The sequence below is a fragment of the Homo sapiens genome, chromosome 22 (assembly GCF_000001405.40).
Source record: "Homo sapiens chromosome 22, GRCh38.p14 Primary Assembly".
Classification (NCBI taxonomy): Eukaryota; Metazoa; Chordata; class Mammalia; order Primates; family Hominidae; genus Homo; species Homo sapiens.
Window position 1 is genome coordinate 37985368 of NC_000022.11, and position 26533 is coordinate 38011900.

Here is a 26533-nt window from a genome sequence, read left to right on the forward strand (position 1 = left end):
TACTCCCCCACCCCAACAAGGGGTGGGGACTTGCCCTGCCTCTTCCCTCCTCTGCCCACCTCTCCCTCCCTCCCCTTTTCTTTCCTGCCCATCCTCCGTTGACACCTTTTTCTCTCTCTTTCCTTGGCCTCTCCTCCAAAGGTCGCAGTGCTGTTCTCTTAACTGAGGGCAGCCCCGCCGGGGTGTTGAGGCCGAGGTGGGGTGTATGTGGGTTATGTAATGGAGCTGGGGTCGCATTGGCAACCATGTGACGTTCTGAGCTCCTCAACAGCAGGGCAAAGCCCCAAGACCACCCCAAGGGGTCCTGTCTGGAGTGGGCTGCAAAGGGTCTGGGGAGGCAAGGCCTCATGCTTGGGAAAGTCCAAAGGGGTGTAGGGGGTGGGAAATGGGACACAATGAGGTAGTCACACGAGGCAGAGGCATGTTGGGGGTGGGGGGAGCAGACACTGGAACACACACACACACACACACACACACACACACACATGCTCACACACACAACCAGCCAGACAATCGGGCCAGTGTGTCTGGGGCCTCGGAGCCCAGTGAATTAGGAGTTTGATAAGGGTTTTCTCTTTCTCTCGCTTGCTGGCCTTGGACAATCTCCCCCCAGTTTTCCTCGACGCCACCCCCGGCGCTGCCAACCCTCCTCCCCCCGCCTCCCTTCTCTTCCCTGTGCCCAGACTCTTGTTCGGGGCCTTGAAACAGTGAGCTGTCTTTGTTCGAAATACAGGTGAACGGCAATCATGTGATTAACACACACACACATAAAAAGCTTTTTAACAGCGCCCGCTCGGCCTCAGAACCGCCCGGAGAGGAGCCGCCCTGGATGGACAGAGGGACGAGGGACGAGCATCTGCCGTCGTGTCCCGGCTGCCCTGCAGTCGCCTCCAACACCCGCTGCTGCCCGCCCGCTGCCTGCCTGCCTGGCATCTCTCTCTCCCGGTGGGTCCCCACTCATCCTTCCACCCCTCAGTTCCTCCTCTTTGAGGAAAGGACCTCCCCGCTCTCTGCTGTGTCTGTGACTGGCCTGAGACCCGCCTGGGGCAGGAGGGGTGGTTGTGGAAGGAAAGAGCCCAGAGTTAGGAGGTGGAATGTGGGGTCCCACAGCTGCCCCCTCTCTAACTCCCTGCTTCCTCCTTTGCCCTCCTTGGTCCAGCTGTGCCAGGATGGGGGTGGGGGTAGCAGTGGGCACGCTCTGTCTGCAGGAAGCCACGCTAGACAGAAGGGGCCACTCCCTCTCTCTCTCCCTTGTCCCCGCACAGACACTGCCTTCCTCTCAGGGCTGTGCTGGGCTTTTTGCTGAGCAGTGTTGGGTGAGGCAGGTGGGCCTGCAGGGCGGGTGGGAAGGGCTGTCAGATGACCAGTGCTGTGTGTGTGTGGTTGGGGCCCCTGCTGCGAACACATCCCTGCCCACCATGCTGGCAACTGGGATCCCCTCCATCCCATCCCAGGCCCTGGGAACCCAGTGCTCTCCAGCAGGCAAGGGTGAAGGACCCATAGTCATTCCTGAAGAGCAGGGAGCTTGGAGAGGGGAGGGATCCTGGCTGAAGACACCTGGGCCTCTGCCCCAGCAGGACAACAGGAGGGCCAGTGTCACCTTCTCCTCCTTTCCCTGCTGGGGGTGGCAGGGGTCCCTTTACCCCCTCATTCTTGACCCTTCTCCAGGGATGCTTGTGACCTCCTTACCCCACCCCCCATCACCTCTCTGTCCTGAAGTGAGGGTTTGTCACCGTCCATGGCAAGGTGTGGTGTCTGGTAGGCTCTATGACCTGCCTTCTCTCAGGGTGTTTATTCTGCAGCAGAGAGGGGTCTGCGGTCTGAGTGTAATGGTGGAAATCCAGGCTTCCTTCCATGGCCCAAGGAGGCCTTTCCGGAGCAACAGGGTTTTCCTGGGACTCAGCCTGGCTTTTGTTAAGGCAGGTCCCGGATTTACTCAGAAGATGGGCCCCAGAGAGGAGGAGAGGAAAGGAATACCTGTCAGTCAAACGTGAAGCCCACTGATGACACTGCCTGGCAGAGCTGCCTCCGGTCAGCAGTGACCCTTCACCCCCCAGCTCCCAAGTCCTCTTCCTGAGGGAGCTGGTCCGGCTTTATGGAAGGCTCCGCCTGTGTTCCCCCACTGGGTCCCTGGTCCCTCACCTGTCACGTGGGGCGATGGTCACCCTCCCTCCCTGCCTGCCCTGAAGGATACACTGAGATGAAGGTCAGGAAATCTGCTGGCTGCAGAACCAGGGGCCATGCAGGAGTGAGGGATGGTCTGGTCAAGTTGAGGCTCTGCCCCAGCCTCAGTTTCCCCACACAGGCATGAGACTGTCTTCCTGACTTTCAGAGGACAGGGCTGAGATGGGATGAGGGAACACAGGGAAAGCGTTTAGCACCTCTGAGTGCTGTGTGGATGCGACCTGGGGGGTCCTGGCCTCCACTCTTTAATTCTATCTGGACTGTGTGCCCTCCTACCTCCAGTTTCCCTGCGGGGGCCTTTCACAGGGCCTGGCTTGCGGATACGGGGTTTGGCGTAGGGCAGTGCTTCTCAAATGGGAAGGCGCACTGGGATTCTTCAGGTTGGGGTGGGGCCTGAGGTTCTGCATTTCTAATCAGTTGCCTAGGACTGGCTCTAATTCTTGTTGAATTTACAATCACTTGTGGAGTTAAGAAAAACATACTGGGCCTTGGTTGGGTGTGGTGGCTCACACCTGTAATCCCAGCACTTTGGGAGGCCAAGGTGGGCAGATCATGAGGTCGAGAGATTGAGACCATCCTGGCCAACATGGTGAAACCTTGTCTCTACTAAAAAAAAAAAAAAAAAAAAATTAGCTGGGCATGGTGGCAGGCGCCTGTAATCCCAGCTACTTGGGAGGCTGAGGCAGGAGAATCACTTGAACCCGGGAGGTGGAGGTTGCAGTGAGCTGAGATTGCACCATTGCACTCCAGCCTGGGCAAAAAGAGCGAAACTCTGTCTCAAAAAAAAAAAAAAAAAGAAAAAAAGAAAAACATACTGAGCCAGGCGTGGTGACTCATTCCTGTAAGCCCAGCACTTTGGGAGGCCGAGGCGGGCAGATCACCTGAGGGCAGGAGTTCGAGACCAGCCTGGCCAACATGGTGAAACCCCATGTCTACTAAAAATACAAAAATTAACTGGGCATGGTGGCACGCACCTGTAATCCCAGCTACGTGGGAGCCTGAGGCAGGAGAATCACTTGAACTCAAGAGGCAGAGGTTGCAGTGAGCCGAGATCGCACCACTGCACTGCAGCCTGGGTGACAGAGTAAGACTCTGTCTCATAAAAACAAACAACAACAACAACAAAAAAACATACTGGAGCCTAGATCCCACCCCAGACTGGTTGATTCTGAATTTCTGGGGCTGAGGTACAAGCATAAAGTTCCCTGGGAGGTCTTCACAGAGTCTCTGGATCCCTGAGGCTGTGAATGACCCCCTTCCAGAGCCAAAATCACCAGGGATGGAGGAGGGGTCTTGGGTACTGGACCCACCAGCCAGGCAGGTTATACTGGGGTATCCGGAGAGCTTTGGGGTGTGGCAGGGGAGGGCCTATGCACTGGGAAGGTGGAGGGCCGACGGGCACAGGTTAGTGGTCGAGGGCAGCATAGTGACAGACAGAAGCTACCCTGTGGGTCTTCAGCCGAGTCTGAGTGCGCTGGGGTGGCTGTGGGAGCTCCCCTGAGCATTTTCTAGGCCACCTCCACCTTTGGATAAGGCTGTGTCATCCTCAGTCTCGGATGTAGTGGAAAGTGACTTGAAGTCAAGAAATCCTGCCACTAGTACCCAAGGGGCCTTAGGCAGATCACGCTATTAACCTCTCAGGACTCGGCTTTTGCATATGTACGATGTTGATAATCTTATGCACCCTTGATATCCCCAAGTGATGAGAGAATTAAATAAGAATACACACACACATCTCCCCTACCTAGCATAGTGACTGCTCAATAAATGTGAGTCAGAGGAAATCATTTAGCTATTAGGCCAGCACTGGGAGGTGTGGAGGATGCTCACCTCAGGTCAAGTGCACAAGTATTAACCGAGCAGCCACCACGGCCTCACAGTCAGGAGTTTATCATTTGCCTTTTGAATCCTAATGTCAGACCAGGTGGCATTCCTGCTTGGGATGACAAGCTCCTCTGTCATGGGTGGGCCTCCTCTGCCATGCCCCTTAACAGCGAAGGCGACACTCTAGGGCCTCCCCAGGTGCCGGCTCAGCTGTGAGGGCTCCTGTCATCGGACTTCATCCTCCCAACAACCCTCTGAGTAGATGCTATTATTCTCATTTTAGGGAGGAAACTGAGGCACAAAGCGATTCAGTGACAGGCCTGAGCTCGCCCAGCGAATGATGACAGGGTGTGGACTGGGACCTGTGGTTGGTCCCAGCCCAGCCTCTGACCACTCTGCTCTATTGCCCCTAGGCTGCAAGTGCAGCTGCAGGTTGGCCTGCTCCTGCCTCCTCTCCTTGCCTGGGCCTTTGGGCCTGCTCCACCTTCCCCTGGAGCGCTGTCCTCCCTCTGCCTGCTGGCGGTCTAGGCACTGCTGCAGCCCCACTGAGAGGTCCTCTTCCAGGACACACCTTGGGCACCTTGGTTGGAATTCTTTTCCCTATGACTTTCCCTCAGAGGAGGAGACACCTTCAGATGTGCTCTGCCTCCTTACTGAACAGCCTGGAGGACAGGCCAGTCTCCAGTTCCTATTGGGAGCCCCTGAGGCCATGCTCAGCCTCGGCTCACCTTCCCTGAGCCGAGTTGCTGTCAGAGTTCCAAGGAGGAAAAGACCAGGGAGGCTGGAGCGGGCAGGAGTGGCTTCCTGGAGGCAGAGGGTCTGAGCTCTGGGGGAGGAGGATGGCATTCCATGGCCTGTCCCAACAGGGGCTCTTGCCCCTCCCTGTTTCTGGTGCAAGCAGAGGGTCTCGGACCCAGGCCAGCAAGGCAGCTCCCGGGGTTGGAATCTTCCTTCGCTCCCAACTCCATCCTTTCTGGAAACCAGGAAGCTGGGGCCAGTGTCCAGCACTGCCTCTGGCAGCCTGGCCTCTGCTCTCTTCTGAGAAGCCTTCAGAGAAGTTGACTGCCCATTCCTGCCATCTGTCCCCAGCTGCTGGAATGCCCTTCCTGGCGTCTGCCCTGAGCCTCTCCAGCTGCTGGGAACTTCTGTGAATGTGTCCTCTGTGCAGGGCACTGGGCCAGGAGCTGGGACTGGGAGGTGAGAGAGACCAGACCTTGGCTTTGAGGAGCTGAGGGTTTGATGGGAGAGACCGATGTAGAAACCTGGAACCTGGCACGGCCAAACAGGCAGCTGGAGCTGGGCCTCTGGACCCCAAGAGCTGGGGTCAAGACCCAATGGCTGTGGAGGCCCTGTGTTGCCTTGGCAACCTTCTTCCCTCTCTGGGCCTCAGTTTCCCCATCTGTACAATGTAAAATCAGCAGGCTAGCTGATCTCTGAGAGTGTTTCCATATTTGATAACCCATGAATTGTATTTCAAAACAAGAGGCCCGTGCCTGATCCAGTGTTTGCAAGGTGATGCCTCGTGATGCCTCAGACCCTTGGTGTTCCTCAGGACACTGATAGGCATCTCTTGAAAGACATTTGGGAAACACTGCTTTCTGCTTCCTCTTTTTAGAGATGTAAGGGTGGGACGTGGTGGTTCACGCCTGTAATCCCAGTACTTTGGGAGGCCAAGGTGGGAGGATTGCTTGAGTCCAGGAGCTGGAGACCAGCCTGGACAACATAGTGAGACCCCCGTTTCCATTGTTATTATTATTACTATTATTATTTGAGACTGGCTCTGTTGCCCAGGCTGGAGTGCAGTGGCGTGATCTGGGCTCACTGCCACTTCCACCTCCTGTGCAATTCTCCTCCCTCAGCCTCCTGAGTAGGTGGGACACTACCGGCGCATGCCACCATGCCCGGCTAGTTTTTTGTATTTTTAGTAGAGACGGGGTTTCACCATGTTGGCCAGGCTGGTCTTGAACTCCTGACCTCAGGTGATTTGCCTGCCTCAGCCTCCCAAAGTGCTGGGATTACAGGTGTGAGCCACTGCGCCTGGCCACCATTATTTAAAACAAATTTTTTTTAAACTGTTTAAGTAAAAGAGATGCATTGCCTCTAAGCATGCTAAAAGTTCTAAATTCTGCAGTTAAAAACTGCTCTTTAAAATATTTAATATGAATCTTTAATTTATTATTCTATTATTTTTACCACCTATTAACATCTTGTAGAGTTTTTGATGGAAACCAGTTTCACCCTGTTCTGGAGAGGACATAGTTGCCTGAGGTGGATGTGGAGGCACCATGGCCCCTGAGTGAGATGTGCATGTTCCTTACTTTGGGGTCACCCTGCCTTGGTTTCCAACTCCGTTCAGACCTGTTTGACGTGTACCAGGTGACTACTCAGTGTCAGGCCAGGGAAGCAGCTGAATAGAATATGGCACTGACCCCCAGTTCCCTGTGTTCCCATGCCTTCAGAGTTCTCATTGTCCTCCTGCATTGTCCCTGCTGGGGTGTGGACTTGAGGGCTGGGTCCTTCCCACCTCCTCCGTGGTGCCTGTTACATAGGAGTGACGTCAGCAGATGAAGGGCTTGCATGGAAGAGAATGTGTGCAGGCAGCATGTGGGGAAGGAATGAGCATGCGCTCCTGAGTTAAGACAGTCCAGGTTTAAAAAAACATTGTTAGAGATGGTGTCTCAAACTCTTGGGCTCAAGTGATCCTTCCACCTCACCCTCCTGAGTAGCTGGGACTATAGGTGTGTGCCACCATGCCTGGCTCTAGCTCCAGGTTTGAATCCTGACACCTCCATTTATTAGCTGTGTGTCCTTGGCAAATGAGTTAAGGTCTCTGAGTCTCAGCTTCCTTCCAGGTTGTGGTGAGGATTAAAGCAGATAAGGTATGTAAACACTTAAGACAGGGTCTGGCACATGACGGAACCCAGTAAATGGTAGCTATTGTTACCAGCAGCTTGGGGATCTGCCGCCAAGGTGGCTGTTGGTTGACCTTGGGTTTAGAGTAGTCATTGCTTCTTCTTTTTTTTTTTTTCTAGACAGAGTCTCACTCTTTCACTCTGTTGCCTAGGCTTGAGTGCAGTGGTGTGGTCTTGGCTCACTGCAACATTTGGCTCCCAGGTTCAAGCAATTCTCCTGCCTCAGCCTCCCGACTAGCTGGGATTACAAGTGCACATCGCCATGCTTTGCTAATTTTTATACTTTCAGTAGAGACGGATGGGGTTTCACCATGTTGCCCAGGCTGGTCTCAAACTCCAGACCTCAGGTGATTCGCCCGCCTCGGCCTCCCAAAGTGCTGGGATTACAGGTGTGAGCCACCGTGCCCGCCCCCCGGCTAATTTTTATATTAGTTATTGCTTCTTATCCTGTCAAAATGCTGTCATCAGATGTTCCCCGTCTGCTCCCAGTCACCACAGAGGCTGCAGAGCCAGGGCCGATGGCCATCCATGGAACCAAAGCAGAAGGGGAAGCAAGTGACTGAGCTCACATGACTGTTTAGTCATGGAACTGGACATGTCTGCTGTGACATTTTGTTCCCAGGGTTCCTGGGGACCTACCCTAGGCAAGCTCCTGCTGTCTGTGGGGTAAATAAAGAGGGGTGAGTGTGCCCCTTGTCTTTAGGGAGCTTGTTCATTCATACATGTCTAGACACTAGGCAACATGGTGCAGACATGCATGAGGATTAAGAGAGTGGGGAAGGTGGAGGGAAGGAAGAGAGGGGGCAGAGGGGACCTTTATGAGATGGGTCCATTGGTGTTGTCCCTGGAGTGGAAAAGAGCTGTCTGTAAATATGGTCTGAGCAGGGTGGGCTGCACATGGCTCATGAGACCTTTGTCCTTTCACCACTGGCAGGCAGCTGGCAGCTTAGGGGAAGGGGCTTGTCAAGGTTGCCCAGCTTAGGAACTGACAACGACAATGGGACCAAGTCTTCTCATTCCAGATTCCTTGTCATTTTCCTCTGTGATCCAGGCCATTGCCCCAGACCAGGGCTGGGCAGGAAGGGAGCTCAGCCCACCCATCTTACTGCTCTCACCCGGTTTACTGCTGTCCCTTAAAGGTAAAAATGGGGTGATCCAGTCAGAATTTAGCGTTTGTCTGAGCTTGAAGGATCCTCCTCGCCGACATAAGGTTTTCTTATTCTTCGCTGATGTCACTTGTTAATGAAAATGGGAGCCGAGTGATGATGAGCTGAGCTGGGGATCCAGAGACCAGAGTTCAAGGCTGGCCCTTGCCCCATTTACCAGTGAGACTGGGATAAGCTAAGTAACCTTCCCATGCCTCAATCTCCTGTCTGTAAAATGAGAATCACGATACCTGCCATGTCACAAGGATAAAAAGGGCCGGGCACAGTGGCTCACGACTGTAATCCCAGCACTTTGGGAGGCCGAGGCAGGTGGATCACGAGGTCAGGAGATCAAGACCATCCTGGCTAACATGATGAAACCCCGTCTCTACTAAAAATACAAAAAATTAGCTGGGCATGGTGGCGGGCGCCTGTAGTCCCAGCTACTCAGGAGGCTGAGGCAGGAGAATGGCGTGAACCCGAGAGGCGGAGCTTGCAGTGAGCCGAGATCGCGCCACTGCACTCCAGCCTGGGCGACAGAGCAAGACTCCGTCTCAAAAGAAGTAAGGAATGGCAAGTGCTCAGCCTAGCACCTTTGACAAAAACAAGACCTAGTAGTTGCCTCTTTCAGTCATTTCAACTGCCAGTTAATGCCCCGCATTTTCCAGGTGTGATGGCTTTTGTCTTGTCTATAATCAAGCCCGGGAAAACCTCTTCCCTTTCTAGGGTGCAGAGTTGAGCTTACTGAGATCACAACAGGGAACCCAGGCACAGCCCTGGGGTGTGTTCACATGTCAGGGGCTTCGGTTCACACAGGAAGTATAATATCTGCTAGGCTGCCAGGCTGAGGGCCTCACACACACGCACCCCAGCTCACCTTCAGCTGTGTGTGCTTCACTGTGAGCAGGTGTTATTTTGTTTTGTGTTGTTTTTGAAACAGGGTCTCACTCTGTGGCCCAGGATGGAGTGCAGGGGTGCCATCACGGCTCACTGCAGCTTCTACTTCCCGGGCTTAATCGATCCCCCACCTCAGCCTTCCAAGTAGCTGGTACCACAGGCACCAGCCACCACGCCTGGCTATTATTTATTTATTTATTTATTTTTGAGACGGAGTCTCTCTCTGTCGCCCAGGCTGGAGTGCAGTGGAGTGATCTCGGCTTACTGCAAGCTCCGCCCCCCGGGTTCATGCCATTCTCCTGTCTCAGCCTCCTGAGTAGCTGGCACTACAGGTGCCCGCCACCATGCCTGGCTAATTTTTTATATTTTTAATAGAGACGGGGTTTCACCGTGGTCTCGAGCTCCTGACCTGGTGATCCACCCGCCTTGGCCTCCCAAGGTGCTGGGATTACAGGCGTGAGCCACCGCACCCGGCCAATTTTTGTATTTTTTTGTAGAGACAGGGTTTCACAATGTTACCCAAGCTGGTCTCATTGAACTCCTGAGCTCAAGCTATCCTCCCGCCTTGGCCTCCCAAAATGCTGGGATTATAGGTGTGCGCCACCTGCACAGGTGTTTTATATTTACCTCACCTCTCTACCAGGTGGCAAATTGAGAAATCAGAGAGTTTAGGGCTTAGAACCCAGAGTTGAAATCGCAGTGACTGCTTTGGCAGGTGCAATGGGAGGAGCTGCTTCCGACTCTGCCAAGGTCCCAGCTCCTGCTGTGTGATCTTGGGGAAGCCAGCCACCCTCTCTGGCACATTCTCCATCAGTGCATTGAGGGAGCTGGCCTCTGACGTCTATCAGATTTGCTGTCAGGGGCTTTAGGGCTCTACTGAGACAGGCCCACATTTGCTTTTGTTTCCCACCTTTTGTCCCCCAAGTGCTCGGGGTTGGACATGTGAGCACGCAGCAGATGCTCAATAAGTGCTTGCTGAACCTCAGTGATCAGAGAGATAGCTTGGCAGGTCTGTCTCCTGGGTCTGTCATTCCCTTAGCGCTGCATGGAGAGTCCCCTCACATCCTTCCCTGCTGGGAGACTTCCTCCTGGGGGATCACCTAAAGCTCATGTCTACAGAGATGCCTCTCTCGACCCTCCAGTACCAGCTGTTTTCTCTGACAGCACCCTGGACTTTTCCTTTATAGCACTCATTGCAATTTATGATCACATATTTATTGGCGGATTAGTTGTTCATTGTCTGTCTTCCCCACAAGGATGTCTACTTCATGAGGGCAGCTTCCTAAGTCCTCAGTGATCAACTGATTGCCTGAATGAATGAATGAGTGGTGAGGACAGAATGGGGGGTAAAAAGCTGGGAGAGGCAGGTACAGTGGCTCACACCTGTAGTCCCAGCACTTTATGAGGCTAAGGCTGGTGGATCGCTTGAGCCCAGGAGTTGAAGACCACCCTGGGCAACCCCCTTTCTACTTGTTATCATGGCGAAACCCCATCTCTACTAAAAATTAAAAAAAAAAAAAATCAGCTGGGTGTGGTGGTGTGTGCCTGTAGTCCCAGCTACTCGGGAAGCTGAGTGAGAGAATCACCTGAGCCTGGGAAGTTGAGTCTGAGAAGTGAGTCATGATCGTGGCACTGCACTCTATCCTGGGCAACAGGAGTGAGACCCTGTCTCAAAAAATAAAGAGCGAGGAGGAGGCTGAGGGTTAGATGAGGCTGTCCAGGGCCTCTCACTGATGGAGGTGGTCGTGACTCCTAGTCCAGTGCTCTTCCTTCTTCTGGAGCAGGGACACCCTGGGGGACCAGGCTGGGTTTAATGGGCAGCCAAGCCCCTGAGGACCTAGGGAAGAGGAGGAGGGGATGGGGGATCTGAGCCAGCTCCACCCCTTCCCCCAGCAGGCAGGAAGGACAGGGCAGATCTGTCAGCTTCAGATACCACTGCCCCAGGGGACCCAGCCCTGAGCCCAGGGAGGCAGGGAAAGAGGGGGGAACAGGAAGCACCCGGGTCTTCCCCTCCTCCCTTTTGCCCCACCCTCCGCCCCCATCTCTGGCGAGAGAGCTCACAGCCCCAGGCCTTGGCACTAGGGGGACAAGGGCGGGGCAGTGGGGGACAGAAATCCAGTTCTGGGCAAATCCCTTCCTCTCCCTCATTTGGTTTCTGGCCTGAAATTGGGGACTGCCCTGGCAGCCCCTGGAGAGCTTGGCTGGGGCCTTGAGGCAGGAGGGATGGAGCGAGAGGGAGAGGGCACTGCCCACTTACACCCTTCCTGTGTGCCCAGCCCTGTGCAGACCTAGCTGCAGTGTCACTCAACAGGAGGAAGAGCCCTGGGTGGGACCTGGGAGGCCTCACTGAAAGGCTGGGCTCTGTCAGTAATTGCTGTGTGACCTTGGGTGGGGCACAGCCCCTCTCTGGCCACTGTCATTCTCCTCATCTGCCAATGTGGTCCAAACCTGGGGCCAAAGAACACAAGCCCTTGGGGAGTTTTAAAAGACTAATTCCCAGGCCCCATTCTGAGTGGTAGATTTGGGTGGGACATCTGTATGTTTAAATCTCCGCTGCGATTACGACGCACCTGGTGGAGGCACTACTGCCATAGATGGTCTAAGGGCCTCTCCCCAGCCTTGAAACTCCCACCCCTAGGGCAGGCCACCCCACTCCTGTGTCCTACTCGGGAAGGCAAGGGCTGCAGTGGCTGGCTGCATCCTCTGGGGTGCCAGCTGGGACACAGGTGGCAGGCCAGCTGGGACACAGGTGGCAGGCCGTAGGGAGCAGGGTGCTGCCTGGGGAGGGTGTGTGCTGTGGACCTGCCAGGAACAAACACAGAGGGGCCTGGGAGGGCCCTGAGCTTCCCAGCCGGAGTCTCCCCTCCATCCCCTCCTCTGAAGGCCTCTTCCCCCTGACCTTTCTCCCTTCTTTTCCACTTCGGCCTCCACCTTGTTTCTTTCTCTGTCCATTGCTCCCTCCTTCTCCTCTTTCTGTCCCCAGCCTCCTCTCTCTGGGAAGCTTTTTAATTTTGACCCCACATCCCACAGTTGGTCGCTCCTGCCTCTTGGTGTCCTTCTTGTCCTGGCCCTCCTGCCCTGGCTCCCTGTCTCTCTCCAGCCCTGTCTCTGTCTCTCCCTGTTTTTCTCTCCCTGATGCGTTCTCTCTGTCCCTCCCTCCATGAATTTCTCTGTCTCTGTCCTGTGCCACCTCTCATCTGCCCTGCCTCTGTAAATGTGGGGAGGACCCTGGGAAAATGACAGAGATGGGGAGAGCTGACAAGTTAGAGAAGCCAAGGCTTGTGGCAACCTGCAGTCTTCCCCACCTGGCTCCAGCCTACCTTCCCCAGGACACCCGGCTCTGTCCCCTGCATGCCCTGGGTCACCCTGCCCCTCCCTCGTGCCTGTGCCCAGCTCCGCATCTCCCTCTTCCCATTTCCAGCTTCCCTGAGACTGCCCCGGGGCCCTTTCTCTGGCTGTCCCAGGGACCTCACCTCCTGTGAGCCCACAGCTCACCGTCTGTCGAGGGGGGACAGGCAGGAGGTAAGGATGCGTCCGAGCCTCCCTAGGACACGACCCTCACAGAGTCATGGACCGCAGGATTTGTACCATCTCCTGGCGCGAGAGCCAGGGTTGCCCAGATTGATGGAAGAGCAGGTGTTTGTGTCCCCTTCCGGTGAGAGCTTTCCAGCGCCCAGAGAGCCAAGACGGCTTGTGGAATTGGGGAAGAGGCAGGGAGAGGGTGGGAAGTGGGAGTGGAGGGGTATGTTCTTCCCCTCCCGGGGCCTCAGTTTCTCCTCACAAGCTCTTCCCTCTCTCTCATTGTCTAAGCCTTTCCTTCCCGCCTCTGGTCGATTGGGGGTGGGGCAGGGGCAGGGAATGAGGGGATGTTGGGCTTTTACTCAACGGAGCAATTTATCCTGTGATCAAAAGAGGCCATGGCCGCCTCATCTCTCCTCAGAGACCTGCCCTGACAGGTGGTGTCCTGCCTCCAGTCCGTGTTAACTCCCTCAAGGCCAGGGCCGGGCCGAGGGTCTGAGCCTTCCACCTGCCCCTTGAAGGGGCCTCCCTGGGGTCCAGAGACATCAGGCTGGCCCTGGGGAGGCTGTGGACCCTGGGCCTCACACTTACATCTGGACAGGCCTTCTGACTTCCAGGGCCTGGTGAGAACCTCAGGTGAGGAGTTGCTGTCAGGCTCCCTGGGCAGGTTGGGGTGGTCCTGCTGTCCCACCCTGGGGACTTTATTCCAGGGGCTGTGGGCTGGAAGGAGCCCCTGTTCCTTCCAGACTCCCTCTCTGCACCCTCCCTACTGCTGGCCCTGTGGCCCTGGGCGTGGGATGTGCAGAGGACCGGCCAGGAGAAGGGTTAAGTCAGGGACTCTTGGGATGGCTTTGGCCACGGCCATTCCTCCGAGAGAAGAGAACAAGGGGCCCATTCTGTGTGTGGGAATTAATAGCAAAGAGTCATCTGGGGTGTCACTCAAGCACTGATCGACTCCCAGAGGAATGTGAGAGGGAGAGAGAGAGGGAGAGGAGAGGAGAGGAGAGGAGAGGAGAGGTGTGGTGGGGGCTGAGACGGAGATGTCAAAGGCAGGGCATTAGGGTCTGGCTGGTACAGGAGCCCGCCCTGGTAGGAGGACCCGCCGCCCCAAGATGGGTCCTGCTTTTCACCACAGATGCGCCCCCGTCCCTACACAAGATGAAGACCCCCTCCTGTCATTCCCTCACCCAGGGCCTCCCCCTTCTGTCTTCCCTCATTCCCAGACGGCCGTACCCTCTACCCCGAGGTGGGCCTGCTGGGCAGCTGGCCCTGAGTTCCTGGGCTCTCCCAGTCTGCCCCCATCTTTGCTGAGAGATCCAGGTGCTCCTTGTGGGAAATGCCCTGGGGATGGTGCTGTGGAGTGCCAGCCTGGGGTCCTGAGTTGTACCCTCTGTCCCAGGATCCAGGAGCCCCACTTGCCTGGCTCCAGGCCCAGTTCAGACACATTTCTACCGGGTGGCTGCAGGCACCTTTGGCCGCCTGCGTGTGGGGATGCTGGAGCTTGTCGGCCATCACAGGGGGCTCAGCCTTCCTCGTCAGCTCAGGCCCCTGTGGCAGCCTCAGCCTGGCCTGTGGTCACTGAGGACCAGCAGGTCTCCTGACATCCGAATGTCATACCCTAAGGAAGGCCTTGGCGAGGCTCCAGGAGGCCTAGGAGGGTGTGGTGCTCTCCTGCTCCAGTTGTGGGGCTGAGTCAGAATCCTCCCAGGTCATCTGCACCTGGGCGTCCTGACACCCCTTCCCCTCCCCAGGGCCTCAGGCTGGCCACCGAGCCGAAATGAGCCTAGACTCTGTGGGACGCAGAGGCAGTGGGGTGCGGAGGATGAGGGCTTTGGGGCAGTCAGAGCAGGGTGCCCCACTCCTTGGCCCTGTGACCTGGGCAGAGCTCCTTTGTCTCTCTGAGCCCCGGGGTTTCCTCTTGAAAATGGGTCATGTCATAACTGGCAGGTTCAGAGGTAAGAGAAGGTAACAGGTGTCAAGTGCCCGACACAATAGCCAACCACTGTGTGTTGTTATTTTTATTGTGATGATTATTGTTATTGGAGGGCTGGGCAGCCTCCACTACCCTTGGGCTGGAAGGCACACTGTGCACACCATTTGACTGCCTGGATCTGCACCTGGCAGCCTGTGCCCGCTAGGCGAATCGCAGGGATCCCAGCACTGTTCCTCCTCAGCTGTGGTTTTGGCGAGGGTGAGCTTATTGGCCCCCAGACCTCCTGTGTGCCAGCGTCATTTCCATATCTGGTGACTCATCCTGCTGGTCCTGCCGGAACATGATGCCTCCCCTGACGGCATGGTGCAGGCACAGTGTGTGCAGCCACTGGCCTCGGTTCCTCCCCTGGGAGTTGGCCACCTGCGCCCCCACGGTAGACTCTGGCATGCTAAAGCCTGAAGGGAGCTTAGCGGTTGTCCAGCCGGACCTTCTTATTGTACTGACAGGGAGCTGAGGTCTAGAAAAGAGAGGGCCTTTCTGGGGCACTGTGGAGTAAACAGAGTTGGCAGGCTCTTCTACATTGGGCTAGGAGTCTGGACTCCTGGGTTCTTGCCCAAACTTGGATGCTAGGGGCCAAGTGGGCTGGGAAAATTCCTTACTTATAGCTGGGGTGGGGAGAGGACACACGGAGAAAGAAGGTGGAGCCTTTTGCAAACTAAAGTGCTTTCCAAATATGGGGGGTTATCAGGAGGGTGGCTTTGGGCCCCTCGAGATGGTGCTGACCCTGTGTTCCTCTGCAGTCTGTGCAGGGCACTAGGGTGGTTGGTGTCACCAGCCCAGGGGCTGCTGGACACAGGCCCCACCCAGAGGAATAAGCCAACACCATTGAGGAGGGGCAGCCCAGGGCTCCCTGCCTGGCTTTGGAGGTGTAAGGTGTTTGAAATAACATTCTCCAACATGCTCAAAGTGAAACCAGCTTCCTTTGGGAACATATGGAGACCACAGGCACTTCACAGGGGCTGATGAGGACCCACCAACTCTGCTGTGGGCTCTGTCCCTGCCCTCGGAGCTCATAGCCTGGTGACCTTGGCATTCATTATTTTCATTCCAGTTCTCAGCACAGCGCTTGGCACATAGTAGGAACTCAGGAAGTGTTTATGGGATGGAATGGGGTGATGATGTTGAGGCAAGATGAAGGGTATGAACGGAGATGACATCTGCGTCTTGCCTGGAAGCAGAGGGTAGGAAAAGGAGCAAGTAAGGAGTGGCGGCTGGCATGGGTGCAGCACCACTGAGAGGAGGGGTTGAGAGAGGTTAGAGAAGGACTAGAGTCAACACTCCTGAGAGCCCTTCTTTGCCCTGTGGCCTCTTACTTGCAAGCTAGTTCCCCTCTCTCAGCCTCAGTTTCCTAATCTGTAAAACAGGGATAATAGAATTTATTCATGAGTTGTTGCAAGGCTCAAGAACGGTAACACATGGGCCATGGCAGGCTCTCGACCGTGCCTGCTGGACACCCAGTGTGTTGTGAACAGAGATCTTTAGAGAGAACAGATAAAAATTACAGAAGTATCTTATAGAGACACAGTTGACAGATACAGAAATAATGTGAGTTGCATCATATTAGATTCAGAGAGATTAAAGATAGATTTTTAGGGGAATTTACGAATTTATTCATTTTGGGGACACAGAGAGCGATGAGCACTGGGATGGAGACAGTGAATGCCTGACATTGGAGGCTCCTGGACTATAGAGTTGCTTTGTTTGTTTTTTGGATGGAGTCTCATTCTGTTGCCCAGGCTGGAGTGCTATGGTATAATGTCGGCTCACTGCAACCTCTGCCTCCCAGGTTCAAGCGATTCTCCTGCCTCAGCCTCCTGAGTAGCTGGGATTACAGGCATGTACCACTATGCCTGACTAATTTTTGTATTTTTAGTAGAGATGGGGTTTCACCATGTTGGCCAGGCTGGTCTCCATCTCCTGACCTCAAGTGATCTGCCCGCTTAGGCCTTTCCAAGTGCTGGGATTACAAGTGTGAGCCACCTTGCCTGGCCAAGTGGTTTTTTTTGGATGGAGTCTCACTCTGGTGCCCAGACTGGAGTGCAGTGGCATGATCTTGGCTCACTGCAACCTCTGCCTCCTGGGCTCAAGCAATTCTCCCACTTCCGCCTCCTGAGTAGCTGGGATTACAGGCACCTGCCACCATGCCTGTATTTTGTAAAAATACGAAAATACAAATTTTTGTATTTTTAGTAGAGACCAGGTTTCACCATGTTGGTCAGGCTGGTCCCAAACTCCTGACCTCGGGTGATCCATCCACCTCAGCCTCTCAAAGTGCTAGGATTACATGCGCGAGCCAGCACACCTGGCCTTTTTTTTTTTTTTAATTTATTTTTTTCCCCAAACTTGGACAAAGCATATCACTTCTAGACTTTTTATTGGGCCACAAAAGTGCTTAAGAACTAAAGAAGAAAACTCCAGCTCCAAAGTATACAAAAATAGCAACAGAGAAATTATTCAAAATTTTAAATGAAAAATAAAAAAGACTCTTTAAAACTTGTTTATAGCCAACCAGTTCTATGTAGCATGTGACGTGGGTACATTTCAACATGCTTGATGCAATGTGGGGTCAGTGGGACCCACAAGAGTCTTATAAAGTGTCCAGGGCACTGCAACCTCCGCCTCCCAGGCTCAAGCAATTCTCCCACCTCAGCCTCCTGAGTAGCTGGGATTACAGGCACCTGCCACCATGCCCGGCTAATTTTTGTATTTCTAGTAGAGACTGGGTTTCACCATGTTGGCTGGGGCCATGGGGCTGGGGTTGCTCAGCAAAGTCAGCTGTGTCTGGGGGCAACGGAGAAGGGCTTCCCGGTGGAGGTGATGTTTGGGTGCAACCTTACAGAGAGAGAAGGGATTGAATAGAGGGGAAAATGGCCTGATGGTGACTTTTGAGTCTTTTTTTTTTGAGACGGAGTCTTGCTCTATCGCCCAGGCTGGAGTGCAGTGGCGCCATCTCAGCTCACTGCAAGCTCCGCCTCCTGGGTTCACGCCATTCTCCTGCCTCAGCCTCCCGAGTAGCTGGGATTACAGGCACCTGCCACCAGGCCCAGCTAAGTTTTTATATTTTTAGTAGAGACGGGGTTTCACCGTGTTAGCCAGAATGGTCTCGATCTCCTGACCTCGTGATCTGCTTGCCTCGGCCTCTCAAAGTGCTAGGATTACAGGCGTGACCCACCGCGCCCGGCCAACTTTTGAGTCTTGACGTAAAGGGAGATGTGTGAGCAAAGGTTCAGAGAAGGGAAAGCACATGGAAAATTAGGGAGAAAGGCGAGATACTTGGCATGCAAGATACTTTGGAATTAGGATGTGGAGAACAGGGGAGGGGTTAGGGTAACTCTAGAAAGTTTGGTAGAGGCTTATGTACCAGGCTTGGACTTTATCCTAAGGACAGTCAGGAACCATGAGCGAGACAGAGTCTTGCTCTGTTGCCCAGGCTGGAGTGCAGTGGCGTGATCTCGGCTCACCACAACCTCCGCCTCCCGGGTTCGAGCGATTCTCCCGCCTCAGCCTCCTGAGTAGCTGGAATTACAGGTGCGTGTCGCCACACCTGGCTAACTTAGGTATTTTCAGTAAGGATGGGGTTTCACCAAGTTGGCCAGGCTGGTCTTGAACGCCTGACCTCAAGTGATCCGCCCACCTCGGCCTCCCAAAGTGCTGGGATTACAGGAGTGAGCCACTGCACCCGGCTGGGAGATAGTTTAAGAAGGGTGAGGAGAGTGGTGGTGACACAGTCAGCCTATTTTTTTTTTTTTCTTTTTGAGACGGAGTCTCACTCTTGTCACCACTGGAGTGCAGTGGTATGATCCCGGCTTACTGCAACCTTTGCATCTCAGGTTCAAGCGATTCTCACACCTCAGCCTCCCAAGTAGCTGGGATTACTGGTGCGCGCCACCATGCCCAGCTAATTTTTGTATTTTTATTAGAGATAGGGTTTCACCATGTTGGCCAGGCTGGTCTCGAACCCCTGACCTCAGGTGATTCACCTGCCTCAGCCTCCCAAAGTGCTGGGATTACAGGCGTGAGCCACTGTGCCCAGAACAGTCAGCCTTTTTTCCCCAAGTTCACTCTCAAAGCATTGTGGCAGCTGCGTGGTTGATGGGGAAGGGAGGGAGGTGCTGGAGAGTGGAGGCCGGAGACCCACTAGGAGATTAGGATACTGTTTTGTTTTTTAGATGGGGTGTCGCTGTGTTGCCCAGGCTGGAGTGCAGTGGCGTGACATAGCTCGTTGCAGCCTCAAGCTCCTCAGCTAAAAAAATCCTCCTGCCTCAGTCTCCAGAGTAGCTTGGACTACAGGAATGCACCTCTGTGTCTGGCTAATTTTTATTCTTTTGTAGAGATGTGGGGGGGGTCTCACTATATTGCTCAGGCTGGTCTAGAACTCCTGGCCTCAAGTGACCCTCCCACCTCCCTGAGATCCTGATGGCATAAGCCACCACACCTGGCCAGGGGCTGGAGTGTTAACACCGGTGAAAAATGATGACAACCTGTATTAGGATGGGTCGTAGGGAGGGAAGAAGAGGAGAGATTTGAGAACAAGTCAGGCAGTGGCTGGAGTGAAGGACATTGGAAATAGGTGGTAATAACACCCTTGCCACTTCCTGAGCGCTCACTGTGGGCCAGGTGCTTTCTACCTATAAGACATGCATATCTACTCGCTGAGTTCTCATGACTGCCAGAATGGAGCAAGAGATGGCAGGCAGTCCTGATTTAACTGGAATCTGAAGAATCCATACATGCCCTGAAGTTAAAAACCACTGGCTAACTTGATTACCTCTGTAAGAAAACAATAAATAAATAAAACCCAGTGTCAAAAACCACATGATAGGCTGGCCGCATTGGTTCATGCCTGTAATCCTAATACTTTGGGGGGCCAAGTCGGGCAGATCACTTGAGGCCAGGAGCTCGACACCAGTCTGGCCAACATGGTGAAACCCCATCTCTACTAAAAATACAAAATTAGCCTGGTGTTGTGGCGCACACCTGTAATCCCAGCTACTTGGGAGGCTGAGGCAGGAGAATCACTTGAACCTGGGTGGTAGAGGTTGCGGTGAGCTGAAATTGGGCCATTGCACTCTAGCCTGGGCAAAAAGAGTGAAACTCCGTCTCAAAAAACAAAACAAAACAAAACTATGTGATACATATTTGTTGCTGGCAAATTAGAAAATATAGAAAAACAAGAAGAAAGGCCAGGAGCCATTGGTTTTTAACTGCAGGGCATGTATGGATTCTGCAGATTGTAGTTAAATCAGGCCTGCCTGCCATCTCTTGCTCCATACTGACAGTTATGAGAACTCAGCGAGTAGATATGCATGTCTTTTAGGTAGAAAGCACCTGGCCCACAGTGAGCACTCAGGAAGTGGTAGGGGTGTTATTACCACCTATTTCCAACGTCCTTCACTCCAGCCTCCCGAGTAGCTGGGACTACAGGTGTGTAACACCATGCCCAGCCAATTTTTGTTTTGTTTTAGTAGAGTCAGGGTTTCAGCATATTGGTCAGGCTGATGTCAAATTCCTGGCCTCAAGTGATCTGCCCACCTCAGCCTCCCAAAGGGTGGGATTACAGGCATGTGAGCCACCTCGAATGCCAGATTTAAGAGTTGGGAGTCCTAATGGGGAACCACAAAGGATTTCAGCTCAGGGGTGATGGAACCCTATAGACCTTTAGCAAGCTCATCCTGGCCAGGTGGAGGAAAGACTGATAGCAGGAGAGCTGGTACTGGCCTGGGGGCCAGAGAGGAGAGCTCCCACCAGCAAAACATTACGATGGAAGGCAGTTGGTGATAGATCGGGTGTGCAGGAGCCAGGGTGAGGGATTGTCAGGCAAAATAGGAATGGAGGGGCGATGTAATCACCTAAAATGACAAGACCCAGAGCAGTACCCTCTGAGCGAGGTCTGCAGAGTGGGACCTCCTTGCGCTGTTTGTCACTGATCCTCAGCAAGGTCAGAGATGAGTACAGAACTTAGACAAGTATAGTCTAGAAACTCCTGTAACAATTTGATGTGGCTGCAATTTCCAAGACTGTGAATCATTTTTAGTAATTGTTTTTTATTGTATGTTACAGAAGTATTGGTCTGCAAAGAATTGGTTTTTAAAAACCTTGGGCCAGATGTGGTGGCTCACGCTTGTAATCCCAACATTTTGGGAGGCCGAGGCAGGAGGACCACTTGAGGCCAGGAGTTCAAGACCAGCCTGGGCAACCTAGTGAGACACCATCTCTATTGAAAAAAAATATTAGCCAAGTGTGGTGGCCCATGCCTGTTGTCCTAGCTATTTGGGAGGATTGCTTGAACCCAGGAGGTAGAGGCTGCAGTGAGCCATGATGGTACCACTACATTCGAGACTGGGCAAGAGAGTGAGACCCCATCTCTAAAAAAATTAAAAAAAAAATGGTTTGCTCTTCACTCCATTGAGCTGCAAAAACGCTGGTCTAGATGGAATTTGGGACATATGGAGGGCAGCGAACCAGTGAGCGAGGCAGTGAGCAGGCATGTGGGTGGCTATGCACACACCCCAGGGACCTGGGATTATTTCTGGAGTCAGAGTGATCATTAGGAGCTGACCACAGCCACCCAGCCCATAGCAAGGGCCACCCTCCAGCCGCTCACTCAGCAAATATTTAGCAGGCACATACTGTGTGCCAGGCCAGGCGCCGAGGCACATGTTGGGAAGACAGAGGAGACGAGGCAGGTTCATCCCTTACTCTTGGAGCTGATACCTGCTCGCACTAGTCCCCAAGGGTCATTCCAGAAGGGAAATTTCAATGTGGCTCTGGGGAGGAGCGGGCAAGGGGAGCAAGGAGCAGCTTTTCCATCCTACCTGGTCCATTGCTCCCACAGACCCCCCAGGAAGGGCCTGGCTTGGGGAGGCAGCAACGGGGGAAGGACAGGGAACAGAACTTGGGTCAGCAACCATGGCCCCAGCTCTGTCACCTCTGTTTATGCCATTGTCCTGGGGAGCCTGTCGTCTCCGAGCTCCAGCTTCCACATCTGCATGGTGGGGATCCTGGGGTCCTCCTGCCTCACCCAACAGAGGTCTGGATTAGAAGGAGCTTGGGAGAGGACAGTGGGCTGACTTGTGATCACAGTCCAAGTTTCCAGAGTGCACCCTGCATCTGTCTTCTTGTAGAGCTTCTGGAAGCCACAGGCGCACACATCTGAAAGGAACTTGAAATTTACTGGTATGGGTACTCCATTTTACAGGGAATTGAGCTGAGAGGCCTGGAGGGAGACAGATGTGGCTAAGGTTGCCTGTGGTGAGCTGCAGAGTGGGAACATGAACCTAGACCCCCAACTGGACATCTGGCACCCTGAAAGCCTGAGGGAAGGGCCCTCCCAGAGTGCCGTGAAAATCTGGATGAGAGAGACCATGTCTCCGGCAGGCCCCCAGCCCCTTCTTCACTAGGTCTCCTGATAGCAGCCACCCAGGACTGCCCAGGGTGGTGGGAACCTTTCAAGAAGGCAGAGGGAGAGTGGGCTCAGCCATAGGGCAGACCCTGAGGGGCTCACAGGGCATGAGGTGGCCCAGGCAGGCAGCAGTAGGGTGGCTGGCAGACAGAAGGGGGACTTAGCAGCAGAGACCCATGTCAGGGGGCAAGGTTCCAGACATGTGAGGGATGTGGCTAAGGTTGACCTGGAAAAAGGAATGCTGGGAGCCTGGGAGGTGGAAGGACACTGGAGGAGCTGGCGGTGGACAGAGCGGGGCCGCCCCCATGCCTCCAAGACCCGCTTTCACGTCTGCAAAATGAGATGGAAAGCCATGCCTCCCAGGGCTTCTGGTGGCTGGCAGGTGACAGAGAGGGCACCGCGGGCCTCCAGTTCTTCCCGAGTCCCCCAGGGCCTTGCCTGGGCCCATCAGCAGCAGCAGGCCTTCCGCAAAGACTTGCTGAATTAACAAATGCCTGAGGGAGGGAGAGGGGAACTCACACTAGTTGTGGTCATGGTAGATTTCTGTCCTGAAGAATGGGGAATTACAGCGTTGCTGGGCTCCCTGTGATGGGGCAGCAGGACTGAGGCCTGCGCGAGTGAGTATAGACGCTGTGGTCTGTGTGCAGCCCACTTGCCTTCAGAGCTCTGCCACGGCAGGCCCCCTTTAGCTCCTCTGTTGCTTTACAATAAACTCGCTGGGTGTGGTGGCTCACGCCTATAATCCTAGCACTTTGGGAGGCTGAGGCAGGTGGATCACCTGAGGTCAGGAGTTTGAGACCAGCCTGGCCAACATGGTGAAATCCCGTCTCTACTAAAAATACAAAAGTTAGCCGGGCGTGGTGGCACCTGCCTCTAATCCCAGCTACTCAGGAGACTGAGGCAGGAGAATCACTTGAACCCAGGAGGCAGAGGTTGCAGTGAGCAGAGATTGCACCACTGCACTCCAAACTGGGTGACAGAGAGAGTCTGTCTCAAAACAAAACAAAAAATTAAACATTAAAAAAGGCAGGCGCTGTGGCTCATGCCTGTAATCCCACCACTTTGAGAGCCCCAGGTGGGCGGATCATCTGAGGTCAAGAGTTCAAGACCAGGCTGGTCAACATGGTAAGACCCGGTCTCTACTACAAAAAATTAGCTGGGCGTGGTGGTGCACGCCTATAATCCCAGCTACTAGGGAGGCGGAGGCAGGAGAATCGCTTGAACCTGGGAGGTGGAGGTTGCAGTGAGCCGAGATCATGCCACTGCACTCCAGCCTAGGTGACAGAGAGAGACTCTGTCTCAAAAAAAAAAACCAACAAACAACAACAACAACAAAACATTAAAAAAGCCAGGCGCGGTGGCTCAGGCCTGTACTCCCAGCACTTTGGGAGGCCGAGGCGGGTGGGTCACCTGAGGTCAGGAGTTCGAGACCAGGCTGGCCACATGGCGAGATCCCGTCTCTTCTACAAAAAATTAGCCAGGCTTGCGCCTGTAATCCCAGCTACTAGGGAGGTTGAGGTGGGAGAATCGCTTGAACCCAGGAGGCAGAGGTTGCAGTGAGCCGAGATTGCACCACTGCACTCCAGCCTGGGTGACAGAGTGAGATGCTGTCTCAAAAAAAAAAAAAAAGAAAGAAAAGAAAAAAAGCAGTGCATTAATTTTACATAGTATGATATGTGGGCAAGTGGAGCAGGGAAAGGGGTGTCAGGAGTAGAGGGGACAGTGATGGAGGGGCAGGCCCCTCTGAGAAGGTGGCATATGCATGAAGACCTGAAGTTGCACAGGCAGTTGGACATTTGGGTATCTGGGGAAGAACATTCCAGACAGAAGGAACAACCGTGCAGAGGCTCCAGGTGGGAGCGTGGCCGGAGCGTTCTGAGGACAGCCAGGAGGCCAGTGCAGCTGGGACAGAATGAGCGAGGGGGACAGAGAGGAAGAGATTCGAGGGACCACCAGATGGTCCCTGTGGCGACATGGGCTCGTACTCCAAGGGCAGTGGGGCTGCGAGGGTTTCAGCAGAGCAGAGATGTGCCCTGATCTCTGTGTTCACAGGATTGCTGTCTACTCTGTTGAGAATGGCCTGAGGGGGTCAAAGCAGAAGCTGGGAGGCCAGGAAGGAGGCCCCTGAGGTATTTCAGAGGAGAGGCAATGGCGGGGGCCAGGGAGCTGGGGGTGGCCTGGCAGGCCACAGTGGCAGTGGTGAGAAGTACACAGTTTCCTGGTTGGGTTTGGTTTTCCTTTTTTAAAATTACGTTTTTGACAGCTTCTCTTAGGTACAGTTGACATACAATAAACTGCACATATTGAAAAGGTGCACTTGGATGAGTTTTGACACATGTATGCATCACACATGAAACTCTATCACCACAATCAAGTAAACAAGTACATCTACCGTCCCCAAACTTTCCTCTTGCCCCTTTGTCATCCCTCCCTTCACCCCACCCTCTCCCTAGGCAACCACGTGCAGTCACTGTAGATTAATCTGTATTTTCTAGAATTTTATCTAAATGGAATCATACAGAAGGTACTCGTTTTTGTGTGTGGTCTGGCTTCTGTCACTCAGCATAATTGTTTTGAGATTTATCCATGTTGTTGTGTGTATCTGTAGTTTATCCTTTTTATTACAGAAGAATATGTCATTGTATGGCTAGACCATAATTTGTTTATCCCTTCACCTGTTGATAGACATTTGGGTTGTTTCCAGATTTGGGCTATTACAAATAAAGCTCCTATGAACATTCATGTACAAGTTGTGTGGACATATGCTTTCATTTCTTGTAGATAAATAGCCATGAGTGGAATGTCTGGGTCATGAGGTATGTATATTTAACTTTTAAAGAAATGATCAAGTCTGGGCGTGGTGGCTTATGCCTGTAATCCCAGCACTTTGAGAGGCTGAGGTGAGAGGATTACTTGGATCCAGAAGTTCAAGGCCAGCCTGGACAACATAGCAAGACTCCATCTCTATTAAAAGTAAAAATATTAACTAGATATTGCAGTGCACACCTGTAGTCCCAGCTACTCGGGAGGCTGAGGTGGGAGGATTGATTGAACGCAGGAGTTTGAGGTTGCAGTGAGCTATGATTGCAGCACTGCACTCCAGCCTGGGCAACTGAGCAAGGCCTTGTCAAAAAAAAAATAAAGGAAAAGAAAGAGAGGAGAGAGAGAGAGACAGAGAGAGAGAGAGAAAGGATCAAACTGTTTTCCAAATTAGCTGTACCATTTCACATTTCCAGCAGCGAGGTTTCAGAGTTCCAGTTCCTTCACCCTGAACAACACCTAGTCTGATCAGTTTTTAAAATTTTAGCCATTCTAATAAATATGTATATGTAATAAATATGTAGTAATAATTCCTTGTGTTTTTTTTTTTTTTTTTTTTTTTTTTTGCTTTGAGAGGGAGTCTTGCTGTGTCACCCAGGCTGGAGTGCAGTGGCGCGATCTCGGCTCACTGCAACCTCCGCCTCCCAGGTTCAAGCAATTCTCCTGCCTCAGCCTCCCAAGCAGCTGGAATTACAGGAGCACCCCACCACGACCAGCTAATTTTTGTATTTTTATTAGAGACGGGGTTTCGCCATGCAGGCCAGGCTGGTCTCGAACTCCTGACTTCAGGTGATCCGCCTGTCTTGGCCTCCCAAAGTGCTGGGATAACAGGCGTGAGCCACTGCACCCAGCCTTAATGGTGTCTTTTGAAGAGCGAAAGTTTTGAATTTTGAGGAAGTATAAGTTATCAATTGTTTTCTTTTATGAGTTGTGCATTTCATGTCGTATCTAGGAAATCTTTGCCTAAGTTCCCAAATTCTATCTCCTATATTTTCTTCTAAAAGTTTTATAGTTTTATATTTAACATTTGGGGCTATGATCTGTTTCTTTCTTTTTGAGACAGGGTCTTGTTTTGTTACTCAGGCTGGAGTGCAGTGGAATGATCACAGCTCACTACAGCCTCCATCTCCCAGGCTCAAGTGATCCTCCCACCTCAGCCTCCCGAGTAGCTGGGACTATAGGCATTCGCACCATGCCTAGCTAATTTTTGTATTTTTTTTTTGTAGAGGCAAGGTTTTGCCATATTGCCCAGGCTGGTCTTGAACTCCTGGGATCAAGTAATCCACCTGCTTTGGCCTCCCAAAGTGCTAGGATTACAGGTGTGAGCCACGGCACCCAGCCTTGTGATCTGTTTCGAATTAATTTTTAAAAATATGTTGTCAGATAAAGGTTATGGTTCTTTTTTTTTTTTTTTACACTTGCTTATTCAATTGTTTGAGTGCTATTTATTGAAAAGACTGTTCTTTCCCTATTGACTTGTCTCTTACACCTTAGTTGAAAATCAATTGACCACATGTGTGGGTCTATTCTTGGGCTTTCTATTTTTCCACTGATGTATGCCTTTATGTCAATGCTACATTGACTTGATTATTATAGGCTTGTAAATCTTGAGATCAAGTAGTACAAGTCCTCCAATTCTGTTCTTCTTTTCAAAATTCCTGTACTAGTCTGGATCCTTTGTGTTTCCATATAAATTTCAAAATCAGCTTGTTAATTTCTTCAAAAAAAGCTTGCTGGCATTTTTTTTTTTCTTTACTGGGATTGAATTAAATCTATAGGACAATGTGGGGAGAATTGATATCTCAGCAATGTTTAGTTTTTTTGATCCATGAATGTG

General features: G+C 52.9%; 1 protein-coding gene and 1 non-coding gene across 4 annotated transcripts in view, besides 4 other annotated features; both read left to right on the forward strand.

The window, feature by feature from the left end:
- Positions 1 to 26533, forward strand: part of POLR2F (RNA polymerase II, I and III subunit F) — an 88253-nt gene that overhangs the window by 31705 nt on the left and 30015 nt on the right. Inside the window, exon 5 of one of the 3 annotated variants that reach the window (NM_001301130.2) lies at positions 787 to 945. The exons of the other annotated variants lie outside the window; for them this stretch is intronic. Coding sequence (NP_001288059.1) covers positions 787 to 945 — 159 coding nt within the window. The remainder of the gene's footprint in view (positions 1 to 786; positions 946 to 26533) is intronic. 3 annotated transcript variants of the gene reach the window in all.
- Positions 249 to 1083: an enhancer, noted in NCBI's record as "VISTA enhancer hs564". NCBI's record gives its function as "enhancer in: heart[9/13]" and the evidence as "EXISTENCE:transgenic organism evidence [ECO:0001131][PMID:17130149]".
- Positions 3427 to 3486, forward strand: MIR4534 (microRNA 4534). The gene has a single exon (NR_039759.1). It is a non-coding gene; the product is annotated as a microRNA 4534 (primary transcript).
- Positions 11259 to 11820: an enhancer, noted in NCBI's record as "H3K4me1 hESC enhancer chr22:38392633-38393194 (GRCh37/hg19 assembly coordinates)". NCBI's record gives its function as "activates a minimal SCP1, AML or CMV promoter by ChIP-STARR-seq in naive H9 embryonic stem cells {active_cell/tissue: H9 hESC(naive)}" and the evidence as "EXISTENCE:reporter gene assay evidence [ECO:0000049][PMID:30033119]".
- Positions 12971 to 13825: an enhancer, noted in NCBI's record as "VISTA enhancer hs486". NCBI's record gives its function as "enhancer in: heart[4/10]" and the evidence as "EXISTENCE:transgenic organism evidence [ECO:0001131][PMID:17130149]".
- Positions 13215 to 13509: a silencer, noted in NCBI's record as "tiled region #3171; K562 Repressive non-DNase unmatched - State 23:Low". NCBI's record gives its function as "represses a minimal TATA promoter and a strong SV40 promoter by Sharpr-MPRA in K562 cells {active_cell/tissue: K562}" and the evidence as "EXISTENCE:reporter gene assay evidence [ECO:0000049][PMID:27701403]".